This window comes from Homo sapiens, chromosome 20 (assembly GCF_000001405.40).
Source record: "Homo sapiens chromosome 20, GRCh38.p14 Primary Assembly".
NCBI lineage: Eukaryota > Metazoa > Chordata > Mammalia > Primates > Hominidae > Homo > Homo sapiens.
The window spans coordinates 31871068-31885345 of record NC_000020.11 but is presented as its reverse complement, the minus strand read 5'-3'; the positions used below and the strand labels follow the sequence as shown (position 1 = coordinate 31885345).

Sequence of the window (14278 nt, the reverse complement as noted above, 5' to 3'; positions counted from 1 at the left end):
CTTGTCTATCCTTATGTCACTATCATATTGGCTTAATTACTGCTGTAGCTTTCTGGTAAATCTTGAAGTCAGGTAGAGTAAATTCTGATTTCAAGATTGTCTTTGCAATTAGGGGTCCTTTGCACTTCAACATAAATTTCAGAATTGGCTTGCCAATTTCTACGAAAAAACATGTTGAGATTTTGACTGGGATTGCATTGAATCTACAGATATTTTCAGGAAGTGACATTATAAAGTACTGAGCCTTCCAATACATGAATAATATGGTCTCTCCATTAATTTAAATCTTTTAAAAATTTTTTTCTATTTTCTAGTTTTCAGTATAGCAGCCTTGTACATTTTTAATTAAATTCATTCATAGGTATTTGATTTTATGATGCTATTGGATACAGTATTTTTAAATTTCGTTTTCTACCTGCTGATAGTAAATTGTAATAAGCAGAAAAAGGCCACCTCCAAAGATGTCCATGTCCTGATCCCTAGAACGCAAGGGGGATTTAAAATTGCAGATGGAATTAAGGATGCTAATCAAAGAACCTTAAAATAGAAAGATTATTTTGTATTTTTTGGGCAGGCCCAATGTAATCATAAGGATCCTTAAATGTGGAAGAAGGCAGAGTCAATGTCAGAGTGTCAGAGTCACGCAATGTGAGAAGAACTGCCATTGAACATGAAAGGGGACCATGAGACAGCCTCCAGAAACTAGAAAAGGGGTTTCTCTCCTAGAGCCTCCAGATATGAAGGCAGCCCTGCTAACACCTTGATTTTAGCCCAGCGAGACCCCTTTCAGACTTCTGATCTCATGAACTGTAAGATAGGGACCAGGTTCGGTGGCTCACACCTGTAATCCCAGCACTTTGGGAGGCCGAAGCAGGCAGATCATTTGAGGTCAGGAGTTCAAGACCAGCCTGGCCAACATGGTGAAACCCCATCTCTACTAAAAATTACAAAAATTAGCTGGGCATGGTGGCACACACCTATAATCCCAGCTAATCAGGAGGCTGAGGCAGGAGAATCACTTGAACCCAGGAGGCGGAGGTTGCAGTGAGCTGAGATTGCGCCACTGCACTCCAGCCTGGGTGACAGAGTGAGACTCCATCTCAAAAAATAAATAAATAAATAAATAATAACTATAAGGTAATAAGTTAGTGCTTTAAAAAGCCATTGAATTGGTGACAATTTGTTAAAGCAGACATTGGAAACTGATACATATATAGAAGTATAACTGATTTTGTATATTGACCTTGTATTTGATGCCCTTGCTGAATGATTAGTTCTGGTAGTTTGTAAATCCTTTGAGTTTTCTCTGGATACAATGATGTCATCTGTGAATAAAGGCAGACTTACTTACTTCTTTCTTTTCAATATTTATGCTTTTTATTTCTTTTTCTTGCTTTATTGCACTGGTGAAAACTCTGGTTTGTACAAAGTTGACTAAAAGTGGTAAGAGCTGACATCCTTATCTTGCTCCTGATCACAAGAGGAATGCATTCTCTATTTCAGCTTTTAAGAATGATATTGGCTGTAGGTTCCTATAGTTTCCTGTACTATATTGAGTAAATTTCCTACTATTCCCTGGTTTTCTGAGGGTTTATCATGAACAGGCTTTTTTTTTTAACTTATTTAAAACATCTTTTCTTATGTAATTATGCAATTATATAATTCATTTAAAACATCTTTTATTAGGTAATTATTATGTAATTTGACCATTATAGGAGTCAAAGATGTTTGACTCAGAGATGTTTAACATTTACATCTGCCTGGGCCCCCAAGAACAGTAAACTTTATGGTAACATTTTATTAAGCATTTCTCAGATTAGCCTGAGGACTCATCTAAGATTAAGAATTCTTGCTGGGCACAGTGGCTCAGGCCTGTAATCCCAGCACTTTGGGAGACTGAGGCAGGTGGATCACAAGGTCAGGAGTTCAAGGCCAGCCTGGTCAACATGGTGAAATCCTGTCTCTACTAAAAATACAAAAATTAGCCAGGCATGGTGGCGAGGAACTGTAATCCCAGCTACTTGGGAGGCTGAGGCAAAAGAATCGCTTGAACCCAGGAGGTGGAGCTTGCAGTAAGCTGAGATTGTGCCATTGCACTCTAGCCTGGGTGATGGCAAGACTCTGTTTCAAAAAAAAAAAAAAAAAGAAAGAATTCTCAGGAGAAAGGTTTTTTCCCTGCACTGAAGCTGACTAGCTTCCTAGCTGTCTCCCACTGCTGAAGGGTAAATTGGTTCTAATTACACCTTTACTAAGGGTGGGGGTCTCTGAAGGGTCCAGCTTTATGGTGAGGTCTCAGTTCCAACTCCTTGCCCAGTGGGCCCCATGACACTCTCCAACTCCTGTTTGTGAGACAATCAATGTCTTCCCCAAGGGAAATGACGAATGAAGAATCAGTTAGTGACAATTCTGTTTTTTTATTTTCCTTTTTGTGTGTGTGTGTTAGGGTGGGGGTTCCTTGGGGATTTTTCTTCTACCAATCCTTACCCCTCCACATAAACAGGTCAGCTATACAGTTCAAAGGATGTTTGTTACATTTTGCCCAGCAGTTTTAAGTGTGTTGTGTTAATAAGCTTTTCAAGAAATCTCATCTGTCATATTGCCTGAGATAGAAGTCCTATTACTATCTTGACCCAAAAAACAGCCCAGGGATATAAATACTTTCCCCAAACCACTAAAATAATGCATTTAGAAAAGACAAGGCTACAAGAGTTTTTTTTTAAAAAATTATCTTATTGAGAAAATGATTCAAAAGTGGCTTAGTTGCTTGTATGGGCTACAAACAGAGAACTTTAATTTTATTTCTCGTTGGTGCCATTCATGGAAGGTAGCACGAATGGCGCCAGTTGGTGTTGAGTCAAAAAGAGCATAGGCTGGTGACATTGCCACCTGCCTTCATTCCTGTCTCTATTCCTGGAGTCCTGCTCTGAGCTCCCTGGTAATACCTACCAGGTGGAGACAGCCATGCTGAAACCAGTTTGCCACACCAGCTTACCCAAGACTTTGATTATCTAACCAGAGATCAGCTTCATTGCTTAGCTGGTTCCACTAATCCCAGCTTCATTCCTGCCTGATCCAATTCCTCATTTCCCCTTAGCCCTCTGGAGAGTTCCCAGCACAACTCAGAGCTGAGGTCTTGGCGACCATAACCTTGAGGAGATGGGGTCAAAGGTTGGAACACGCGGTATTCTGACCTCTGGCCTTCTCTAGGCATATTTTCGTGAGGGTACACAAAGTATATCCTGGCATGTTCTCTTAAGGCTGACATGAACGTTCCTGCTCAAATAAGTTCATACTCCTATTTCCCCTGGGTCATTTGAAAGAAACCACAAAGTCCTAAGTCAATATACAGGAGACCTTTCTTTCCCTTTCCAACAACAAAAACAAAATTCATAGCATCACAAAGAAGTAGTCCACTATTTTTTTCCTTCATCCAACATGGTCTGCTACACCCATGTCTATACTATATTCACAGTGTAGACTGCTAAGAGTTTGTGCATTCTTCAGCAACCTGCAGTTCGTCCTTCCTTTCAAAGGAATCAGTCGGGTTCAAGGGAAGGGACTATTTCAGTAGATGTTTGTTTTCTTTTTTTCTAACACTTTCATAAAGTGATATGCAGGAAGCTGAGGCAGGAGGATCACTAGAGCCCAAGAGGTTGAAGCTTCAGTGAGCCGTGTTCATGCCACTGCACTCCAGCCTGGGCAACAGAATGAGACACTGTCTCCAAAAAAAAAAAAAAAAAAAAGTTATATGTGTCCCAATCTGTGTATTTAAAGAGTATTAATTTTTAAAATTTGAGAGTTTGGTCATGATTAGCATAGTGGTAGTTGAGGTAGAGGAAAAAATAAATTCAAGACATATTTAGAAAGTTAAAGGAAGGAGGCTTTTATTGGATGTGGGATGTGAGGAAGATGGAGGAGTCAACAGTCCCAGTTTTTTAGCTGAGCATCTAGACAGGTAGTTCAATAGTCATTCAACATGTATCAACTGTAGTCAGCTCTGCTGAGGACCAGGGATACAGGGAAGAACAAGTCAGATTAGATCCCAGAGCAGCAGGGAAGACAGATGTTAAACAAATAGTCACATGAATAATGAATTGTAGTAAAAAGGCAAAGTTCAAGGCACTCTGAAAGCAGATAAACTCATTTTTTGTTGTGAGAGGGAATTAAAAGAAATAAGAGGTTGACCAGGTGCAGTGGTTCATGCCTGTAATCCCAGCACTTTGAGAGGCCAAGGCGGGAGATGGGTTTGAGGCCAAGAGTTCCAGACAAGGCTGGGCAACATAGCAACATAACATAGAGACTCCTCTGTCTCTACACAAACTAAAAAAGAATTAGCTGAGCATGGTGGCACACACAGGTAATCCCAGCTACTTGGGAAGCAGAGGGAGGAAAATCGCTTGAGTCCAGGAAGTCGACTGAGCCAAGATAACACCACTGCACTCCCTCCTGAGCAACCAAGTAAGACCTTGTCTCAAAAAAAAAAAAAAAAAAAAGGAAAGAAAGAAGAGAAATGAAGGTGCCATTCATGAATGAGAGCTGGGATTAAGAAGTAAGATGGAGGCTGGGCGCAGTGGCTCACGCCTGTAATCCTAGCACTTTGGGAGGCCGAGGCGGGCAGATCACGAGGTCAAGAGATCGAGACCTGGCCAACATAGTGAAACCCTGTCTCTACTAAAAATACAAAAATTAGCTGGGCGTGGTGGCGAGCGCCTGTAGTCCCAGCTACTCAGGAGGCTGAGGCAGGAGAATCGCTTGAACCCGGGAGGCAGAGGCTGCAGTGAGCTGAGATAGCGCCACTGCACTCCAACCTGGCGACACAGTGAGACTCCGTCTCAAAAAAAAAAAAAAAGTCGGTTGGGGTGCGGAGAGCTGAATTTTACTGTAATTCATTTTCCCTCTTGGACTTTCATTTTTCCCATTCTTAAAATGGGAGAGTTGGTCTGTGCCCTCTTGGAGGGCAGAGGTTTGTCTGATTCACCTGTGTCCCTTGGCCGGCACTGAGCTTGGCTTGGAAAAGACACTAATTAGCGTTGTTTTGAATGGATGAATAAACGGATGGATGGATGGATGGATGGACGGATGGACGGGCAGGCGGGTTTCGCCAAGTCAGGAAATCTGAAATTCTGAGGTTCAACTTCCCCTGGGGTCACGGAGCTTAGAGTCCCACTGTTGTGTAAACTTCCCGCCAGCTGGCCGGGCTCGCGGGACTTGCGCAGCAGCTTGGGCGGCGCGGTGCATGCCGGGACTTGTAGTCTTTCCTCTGAGTTCCTCGGCTTTTTTTCTTCCTGTTTTCGGAATTCCTCCGCGAGAACAACCCACCCCGCCCCCCCGCCCCACCCCTACCCATTCCGCGAGGAACACCCATCCCCAACCGATTTTGAATCCCTCTGCTGCTTTCCTCCCTTTTTCTAGGGACGATAAAAGCATCTGGGTCAGGTCGACTCCTACCTTCGGTCGCGACATAACGCGATTCCCCAGGGGCCAGATCCAAACCGCCACCGCGCGCCTCGCGTGCTTATGCGTCCCGTTGCCAAGGCGACAGACAGGCGCCTGGATCCGCCGCTCTGATTGGATGAGCCAAGGGCATGCTCTCGGCGGAGTGCGCAGGCTCTGGTCCACCAGAACCTCTGGAGGCTATTGGGCGTCCTGGCAGCCTAGGTCCCCCGACTTCCTCAACCTTTCTTTTCCAGCCTCGCCTCTCCGCGACCCTGGGGCAGTTCGTTCAGAGGCTGGCTCCCTCTGCCCCACGCCGCCTCCAACTGCACTTTCCTTAAACTGGGAGCGCTGCATCTGAAAAGTTGTCAGCTTTCGGTAAATGTAATGGTACTGAGTTTCCTTACTTAACGAAGTTACTCACTAAGTCACCTGGTCAGTTGGTCAGTCGGTAACGCGGCCAGTCGCCTCTGCTATCCCAGCCGCTTTCTAATCTTAAGGGCTATAGCCTCACCAACATTAGATGTTGTCCATCTTTTTCCTTTTAGTGATTACAGTGATAGCTCATTGTAGTTTTTTTGTTTGTTTGTTTGAGACGGAGTCTCGCTGTGTCGCCCAGGTTGGAGTGCATTGGCGCGATCTGGGCTCACTGCAGCCTCTGCCTCCTGGGCTCAAGTGATCCTCCTGCTTCAGCCTCCCGAGTAGCTGGGATTACAGGTGCATGCCACCATGCCTGAGTAATTTTTGTATTTTTAGTAAAGACAGGGTTTCACCATGTTGGCCAGGCTGGTCTCGAACTCCTGACCTCATGATCCACCTGCCTCGACCTCCAAAAGTGCTGGGATTACAGGCGTGAGCCACTGCACCCGGCCAGCTCATTGAAGTTTTAAAAGTACTGAGGGGTTGACTGGGAAGGACATGAAGGAACTTTCTGGAGTGATGGGGATTTCCATCTCTTAATAAAGATGTGGGTTACATGAGTATATGCATTTGTCAAAATTGACTAAACTGAAAACTTAAGATCTACGCATTTCATTATTTGAATGCATAGATCTTATTAGATCTATAGATAATATATATGAGATATATATAAGAAAGAGACAAAGTTATCATTTGCAGATAGCATGAGAGTTTAATTGTTCAGAGTCCTTGGTTACAAAAAACTATCTTTGATTAACTGAAATAGAAATGGAATTCATTGGTAGGATATTGAATGAGTCACAGAGTTGTTGGAAATCAGAATTAAAAAATGGGGAAGGAATTCAGGGAGTCTATCTGATCAAAATTATGGTCAAAATCAGAGTTTGCAGAAACTTTGATTGGGGTGCCATTTCTGATTATTACTGGACATCCCACACCACTACTGGCAAGACTGCTGCAAATAGTACTGGATGCTGTTGCTGGTACTAGCACCTCTGCTCAATAGATACCACTACTAGTACTGGAATTGGCCAAATGAATACTCAACAGACACCTGCTTTGTTGTACTATTTGCTTCAGATTTAAAGTCCACAAACAGCTTTAGCTGCTAGGACTAGAGTACCTGCCTCTTCTAGCTTCATACAGTAGTAGTGTGGAAGATGCTGCTAGTTGCCTACACAATATCCATTCTTCCCTTCTGAAATAGATGTCCATCAGAACTGTCTGCATTTAAAAATCCAAGATAATCTACAGAGTATTAGAACAAATAAAAGGGTTTTTTGTTTTTTAAATCAATCCAAAAATGACTCACTGTATATTGAATTTCTATATACCAACCATAGCTGATTGGAAACTACAATAAAAATATATAGCAACAGAAATATAAGATATGTAGAAACAGATCTAATAAAGTATATGAAAGACATTAAACCACAAATTCTTATGCTTCTACTCTGTGTCCTGCTCTGTTCTTGACTCTAAAAATACAGCAGAAAGGAAAACTGACAAAGCATTTTCCCTAATAGAGTTTATATTCTCATAGAGAAAATTATAAAATATTATTAAAGGACATCAAATAAATGCAATGATATACCATGTTCATGGATGGGAAGGCTCAATATCAGAAAGATGTGTATTTTCCCCAATCCAATCAGGATTTTTGAGAAATCTTGTCAAAATCAAAAGAACAATGTGTATATGTTGGGGCAAGGAGACACTTCTCTGCCTACCAAGCCAATGAGGAGTAGAGCTTCAAAACAGACACAGGAGAGAGTGTGTGTGTATACTTGATGTATAATAGAGGTGGCATTATAAATCACTGGGGAAAAAATAGAGGACTCAGTAAATGGCACTGAGAATTTACTTTCCATAGGGTTGAAAAATAGATGCCTAATTAAATGGATTAAATAAATATAACAAATATTTAAGACATATACATGTTATATTTATTATCTTGGGGTGGGAAAGGACTTCTTAGATAAACAATAATAATAAAGCACTATTCATAAAGGAAAAAGATGATCAGTTTAAATCTGACTACCTCAAAATTTAAACTGCCAGGCCGGGCGCGGTGGCTCACGCCTGTAATCTCAGCACTTCGGGAGGCCAAGGCAGGCAGATCACGAGGTCAACAGATTGAGACCTGGCCACCATGGTGAAACCCCGTCTCTACTAAGAATACAAAAATTAGCTGGGTGTGGTGGCACATGCCTGTAATCCCAGTTACTCGGGAGGCTGAGGCAGGAGAATCACTTGAACCCAGGAGGCGGAGGTTGCAGTGAGCCGAGATCATGCCACTGCACAAAAGACATGGTAAATCTGATTAAAAGATAAGCTACAGACTGGGAGGAAACACTTACAACATATATAACAAAGGATTGGTGCTCAAGGAACTCCTTCAGACCATTAAGGAAAAGATAACCCCACCCTCACCCCTACAAAAGAAAAGAAAAATGGGCAAAGGATATAAATAGGGAATTTTCAGCAGAAGAAACTCAAATGGCCAGTAAGCCAATTGAGAAATGTAAATAAAAATAATCGTATGATTTGAAATACATCAACTATACAAAAATAAAATATGTCAATGTTTTTCATGAGGTCAGATGTTAGTGAGGAATGTAAATAAAAATAATCGTATGATTTGAAATACATCAGCTATACAAAAAATATGTCAATGTTTTTCATGAGGTCAGATGTTAGTGAGGACGTGGGGAAACGGGAGCCTTTACATGCTATTCACACCTTGGGAGGCAATTTGGCAATATCTCATAAAGTTGAAAATGCACACACCTTACAACCCAGATATTCCACTACTAGACGATATCTTATAGGCCCACATCTCCATGGAATACCTTTCATCTTGTAGTTAATGTGCAAGGTGACAACCTTCCTAAAGAAATTTTTACACCACTACATAGGTCATATGTATAAGGATGTTGTTTGCAATGTTCTTGATAACAGCAGAAAATACTAGAAACAATCTAAATGTCCACTAGTAGGGTGATAGATGAATAAAATGGGATATATTCCTTTTTTCTTTCTTTTTGAGACGGAGTTTTGCTCTTGTCACCCAGGCTGGAGTGCAATGGTACGATCTTGGCTCACTGCAACCTCCACATTCCTGGGTTCAAGTGATTCTCCTGCCTCAGCCTCCCGAGTAGCTAGGATTACAGGGACCCACCACCATGCCCAGCTAATTTTTGTATTTCTAGTAGAGACGGTTTTGCCATGTTGGCCAGGCTGGTCTCGAACTCCTGACCTCAGGCAATCCACTGGCCTCAGCCTCCCAAAGTGCTGGGATTACAGGTGTGAGCCACCACACCCGGCCAAGATATTCTAATAATAAAATACCATACAGTGATAAGAATGATCCAGATTTATATCAGTATGTACATATCCCCAAAACCTATTGAGTGAATAAAAGAAAGTTGTAGAATGAGAAATGTTTTTTAAAGGTTACCATTTGTGTTAATTATAAACACATATAAAAGTATATTTCATATTATTTTGTATGTATAGGTAGTAAGAGTTTAAAAACACAGACTCAAAAGATATGCACCATAGCCAATCCTCGTGAGTATAGTGGTGAGTATCCCTGCGTGTCAAAACATATGCACTAAATTTATGATACTAGTTGGGGAGAGAGTGAAGGAAGTGGGGAGAGAAAAGGGAACTTAACTACTTCAAGTTTATTTAGAATGTTTTTGTTTTATTTAAACAACACAATGGAAGCAAATAGATCAAAATATCCTTACCTGGATTTAAGATTTTTTTCCCCAATGAAAAACACACAGGCCATAACAATAATATGATAGAGGAAGTTTAGCATTCTTTTTGAATGCATAATAGTAGGATCTAAACAAGTCTAATAGGAGTCAGTAAAGACTTCCAGGAGGAAATGAGAGTTAGCTTGGTAAGGAGGATGGGAAGAGCATTCCAGGCAGAAAGAAGAGCATTAGGCGAAGTTGGAAGTCAGAGAAAGCAAAGCATGACACGGATCAGTAACTAGGAAAGAGTGGAGTAGAGGGGAGAGACGAGGTTTCCAAACCTGTTTGGTCTTGTTTCCTTTTTCACAGATGTGGAAACATAGCCCTAATGAAGGGAGTAGAGACAAGGGTTCCTACTCTGTCAACTGTTCCATGATAATAGTAATGCCAATGGTAATAATAATAATAATGTACTGTGTTCCAGTCTTTCTACTAGGTATTTGAAACATGTCCTCTCATTTATTCTTACTACAGACCTACAGAGGGTTTTTTTTCCTCCCTATTTCATAGATGATGAAACTGAGGCCCAGAGAAATTTAAAAACTTGCTCAAAGTCAGTGGCAGAAACCACATCCCACAAGGCCTCCTTGTGTGCCATGCTAAGCAGGTTGGACATTTTCCTAAAGGTGTTGGTGAGTGTATGAATTTCCTGTTGCTGCTTGTAATCACAACAAACAAAGTGACTTAAAACAACACAAATGTAGTATCTTAGAGTTCTTGAGGTCAGAGATGTGAAATGGGTCTCACTGGGCTAAAATGAAGGTGACGGCAGGGTTGAGTTTCTTTCGTAAACTCTAGGATAATCTGTTTCCTTGCCTTTTCCACTTGCATCCCTTGGCTGTGGGCCCCCTTCGATCTGCAAACCCAGCAATTACACCACTCCGACTTCTGCTTCCGTCATCTCATCCCCTCTGATTCCTACTCTCCTGCCTCCCTCTTTCACTAATAATGACACTTGTGATTATGTTGGGCCCCTCTGAATAATCCATCATAATCTCCCCATCTCAAGATCAGCTGGCTGGGCGCGGTGGCTCACGCCTGTAATCCCAGCATTTTGGGGGGCCAAGGTGGGTGGATCACTTGAGGTCAGGAGTTCAGGACCAGCCTGGCCAACACGGTGAAACCCCTTCTCTACTAAAAATACAAAAATTAGCCAGGCATGGGTGGGCACCTGTAGTCCCAGCTGCTCTTGAGGCTGAGGCAGGAGAATAGCTTGAACCTGGGAAGCAGAGGTTGCACTGAGCCGAGATTGCACCATTGCACTCCAGCCTGGGCGACAGAGTGAGACTTTGTCTCAAAAAAAAAAAAAAAAAAAAGATCAGCTAATTAGCAACTTTAATTCCATCTGCAGCCTTAATTCTACCCTTTGCCATGTAATATAACATTCACAGTTACAAGGAAATAGAGTGTAAACACCTTTGGGGGGACCATTATTTTGTCTACCACAGTAATCCACTAAAGGGCTTTAAGCAAGGGAATGACAGGGTGAGACCCACATTTTAGCATCTTCCTATTATTGGTTTTGTAAAATGGTCATTTCATGATTTAAGACAGATTGGGCTTTGTAATAACTAATACTTCCAAAGGCTGAACAGTACATAGATATTAAATATGTTAGGTCTAATAACACATATGGGCTTTTAACTTGAAAGAATTCTTTCCTACATGTAATTTGTATCTTTCCCCTTAGCACTCAGTGGGAACACAAAGGACTGTTACAATTGCCCCTCTATGGGTAAATTAAGGGACATTGGCTCACCCGCCTAGGATCGCAGAGCTGCTAAGGCCAGGGCCATGGTAAGGAGCTAGTCTTCAGGCTCGTTTATCAGTGTTTTCTTTCTCTTTCTTTCTTTCTTTCTTTCTTTCTTTCTTTCTTTCTTTCTTTCTTTCTTTCTTTCTTTCTTCCTTCCTTCCTTCCTTCCTTCCTTCCTTTCTTTCTTTTTCTTTCTTTCTTTCTCTTTCTTTCTTTCTTTCTTCCTTCCTTCCTTTTTCTTTCTTTCTTTCTTTCTTTCTTTCTTTCTTTCTTTCTTTCTTTCTTTCTCTCTCTCTCTTTCTTTCTTTCTTTTGTCTTTTTTTTTGACAGGGTCTCACTCTGTCATCCAAGCTGAAGTACAGTGATGTGATCACAGGTCACTGCAGCCTCAACCTCAAGCAATCCTCCCACCTTGGCCTCCAAGTAGCTGGGACTACAGGTTCGTGCCACCACACCCGGCTAATTTTTTGTTTTAGTTTGTTTGTTTGTAGAGACGAAATTTCGCCATGTTGCCCAGGCTGGTCTCCAACTCCTGGGCTCAAGCGATGTTCCCGCTTCAGCCTCCCAAAGTGCTGGGATTACAGGCATGAGCCACCACGCCCAGCATCAGCATTTCTTTACAGCATCCATGGGTCGGGCATTTGGGGAAACTTAAGTCAGCACATCTTTGGCACAATTTCCTACATATAGCTCAGTGCCCAATAAACGTGTTGAATTGGTGAACACCCCTGCTTTCATTTCTGTGACACAGATAGTGACTTTCAAGGCAGGAAGCCTGGGGGCCATCCTAAAATTCCTTCCTTCCCCCCACATCCAGTCAATCTGCAAGTCCTTTCAGCTGCCCTGTGAAAATATTCATATATGCTGAGTCCATCCCCTTCTTTCCAGCTTCTCGGGTCCCACTCTATCCCAGGTCACTGTCACCTCTTACCTGAGCTGCTGCAGTGGCCCCCATAAAGGAAAGGGTCAGTGAGGGGTCGAAGTATTTGACTTAAATAAATCAGATGACCTGGCCTCCCAGGTTAAATTTTCCTGTTGGATTTTTATCCGACAGAAGAGAAGGAAAACTTTAACTCCCAATCATGGCCATATGTGCTCCTGCATGCTCCGGCCCTGAACCGTCCTCTTAACACCTCCTGTAGCTCCCTCTACTCCAGTCCCACTGGCTTTTTACAGAGGCCAAGCTATTCCCATCATAGGGCTTTTGCCCATGCTGTTCCTTCTGCTGGAAATACTCTCTCCACTCTTTTTCTTTTTCGTGTGTGTTATTTTTTATTTTTTTGAGACAAGGTCTCGCTCTGTCACCCAGGCTTGAGTGCAGTGGTGCGCTCATGGCTCACTGCAGCCTCCACCGCCTGGGCTCAAGTGATCCTCCTCCGCCTGGGCTCAAGTGGTCCTCCCACTTCAGCTTCCTGAGTAGCTTGGACTACAGGTCCCGGCTAATTTTTTTTTTTTTTTTGTAAAAGCAGGGTCTCCCTATGTTTCCCAGGCTGGTCTCAAACTCCTGGGCTCACACAGTCCTCCTGCCTTGGCCTCCCAAAGTTCTGGGATTACAGACCTGAGCCATCATACCCAGCCAAATTTATTTTAGAGATGGGGTTTTAGTATATTGCTTAAGCTGGTCTCAAACTCCTGGGCTCAATTGATCCTCCCACCTCAGCATCCCCATGTGTTGGGATTACAGGCATGAGCCACTGCGCCTGGCTTTCCACTCTTTAAACAGCTGGGTCCTTCTTATATATCACCTCTCAGCTCAAATGCCACTTATTCAGAGAGGTTCTCCCTGTCTGCTTTGTTTCCTTCATAGAAAACTGGGACCATTTGTAAATAATTTATTTGTTTGCCTATCTTGTTTGCCTTCCCTCCTAGATCTGAGATGTCTAATATGTAGCTACTAGCTGCATATGGCTAGTAAGCATTTGGAATGTGACTTGTCTGAATTGAGATGTGCTGTAAATGTAAAAGACACCAGATTTTGAATAGTTAATACAATTTAAAAAGGATATAAAATATCTCATTTATAGTTTTAAAATACTGACTATATGTTGAAATGATATTTTGGATATATTGAGTTAAATAAAAATATTATCAACAATTAACTTGTTTCTACTTTTTAAATGTGGCTGCACATGTGGCTGGCATTATATTTCATTTGGACAATGCTGGTCTATACCATTAGCTAATGAAGGTAGGAACAATCTCTACCCACTGCTGTGTCCCTAGTCTCTATCATATACTAGATGCTCAGTAAGTATTTACTGAATAATTTGGTATTTATGAGAACTCTGGGCTTTTATGAGAGCTGAGACGGGCAGCCCCATGTATGCTATGAACTTGAGGGAGGAAGAAACAGTTTTATTTTTCTCCAATCACTGTATTTCAAAGGGCTCTGTGGATTCTCTCTGTCCTGCTCTCTATCCACAATCCCCAGTCACCTACTACTATAGATTGAGGGGTGGGGGTGATGGCTGAAGGAACAAAGCTGGTGCAGCTGCTTCTATTTCAGTCCTATAGGAAGTGTCTTGATTATTTTACATTCTCCAGCTTTGGTCCTAGAAGCCAGGAAGGGCTCACCTCAACATCCTCAGAAACACAGATAGGGTTAGCTGGGGGTCACGGGGACTTTCCCAGGGTCATCTAGCAGGTCAGAGGTGAACAGGGCCTCAAACCTTGGTCTCCAGACCCCTTCCAGGACCCTGACCTCTAGCTATTAATACATCCTGATGTAGTCTCCTTCAGACTGGAACCCTCCCTCAAACCCCTCTCCCAACATTCACCTGTAATTTCTTGGGGCACCTAATGGCAGTTGTGCCTGGTCCCAGCAGAGCTTCCCTGGATGGCACCATCCCTCCTAGGGGCCGAAATGGATGGAAGGAAGGAGTGAGAGGATGGATGAATGGATGGG

General features: G+C 42.5%; 1 protein-coding gene across 10 annotated transcripts in view, besides 3 other annotated features; it reads right to left on the bottom strand.

Annotated features, from left to right (window-relative positions):
* TTLL9 (tubulin tyrosine ligase like 9) overlaps window positions 1-14278 on the bottom strand; it is a 74367-nt gene that overhangs the window by 59655 nt on the left and 434 nt on the right. For 2 of the 10 annotated variants that reach the window (NR_134519.4, NR_148010.3), the window contains exons 2-3: window positions 14151-14224; window positions 1244-1325 (exon numbers count right to left, since the gene is read on the bottom strand). The exons of 1 other annotated variant lie outside the window; for it this stretch is intronic. Coding sequence is in view for 2 of the 9 variants with exons in the window: in NM_001367620.2 (NP_001354549.1) it covers window positions 1244-1325; window positions 5449-5463 (97 nt within the window). In the remaining 7 variants the exon portion in view is untranslated. Of the gene's footprint in view, window positions 1-1243; window positions 1326-5448; window positions 5791-9901; window positions 9946-14150; window positions 14225-14278 lie in introns of those variants that run through there. 7 more of the 10 variants (NR_148013.3, NM_001008409.5, NR_160276.2 and 4 more) reach the window with 5 other exon arrangements.
* Window positions 5184-5293: a silencer, noted in NCBI's record as "silent region_12770". NCBI's record gives its function as "represses an Ori minimal core promoter by ATAC-STARR-seq in GM12878 lymphoblastoid cells {active_cell/tissue: GM12878}" and the evidence as "EXISTENCE:reporter gene assay evidence [ECO:0000049][PMID:35858748]".
* Window positions 5304-5363: a silencer, noted in NCBI's record as "silent region_12769". NCBI's record gives its function as "represses an Ori minimal core promoter by ATAC-STARR-seq in GM12878 lymphoblastoid cells {active_cell/tissue: GM12878}" and the evidence as "EXISTENCE:reporter gene assay evidence [ECO:0000049][PMID:35858748]".
* Window positions 5529-6028: an enhancer, noted in NCBI's record as "H3K27ac hESC enhancer chr20:30467121-30467620 (GRCh37/hg19 assembly coordinates)". NCBI's record gives its function as "activates a minimal SCP1, AML or CMV promoter by ChIP-STARR-seq in naive H9 embryonic stem cells {active_cell/tissue: H9 hESC(naive)}" and the evidence as "EXISTENCE:reporter gene assay evidence [ECO:0000049][PMID:30033119]".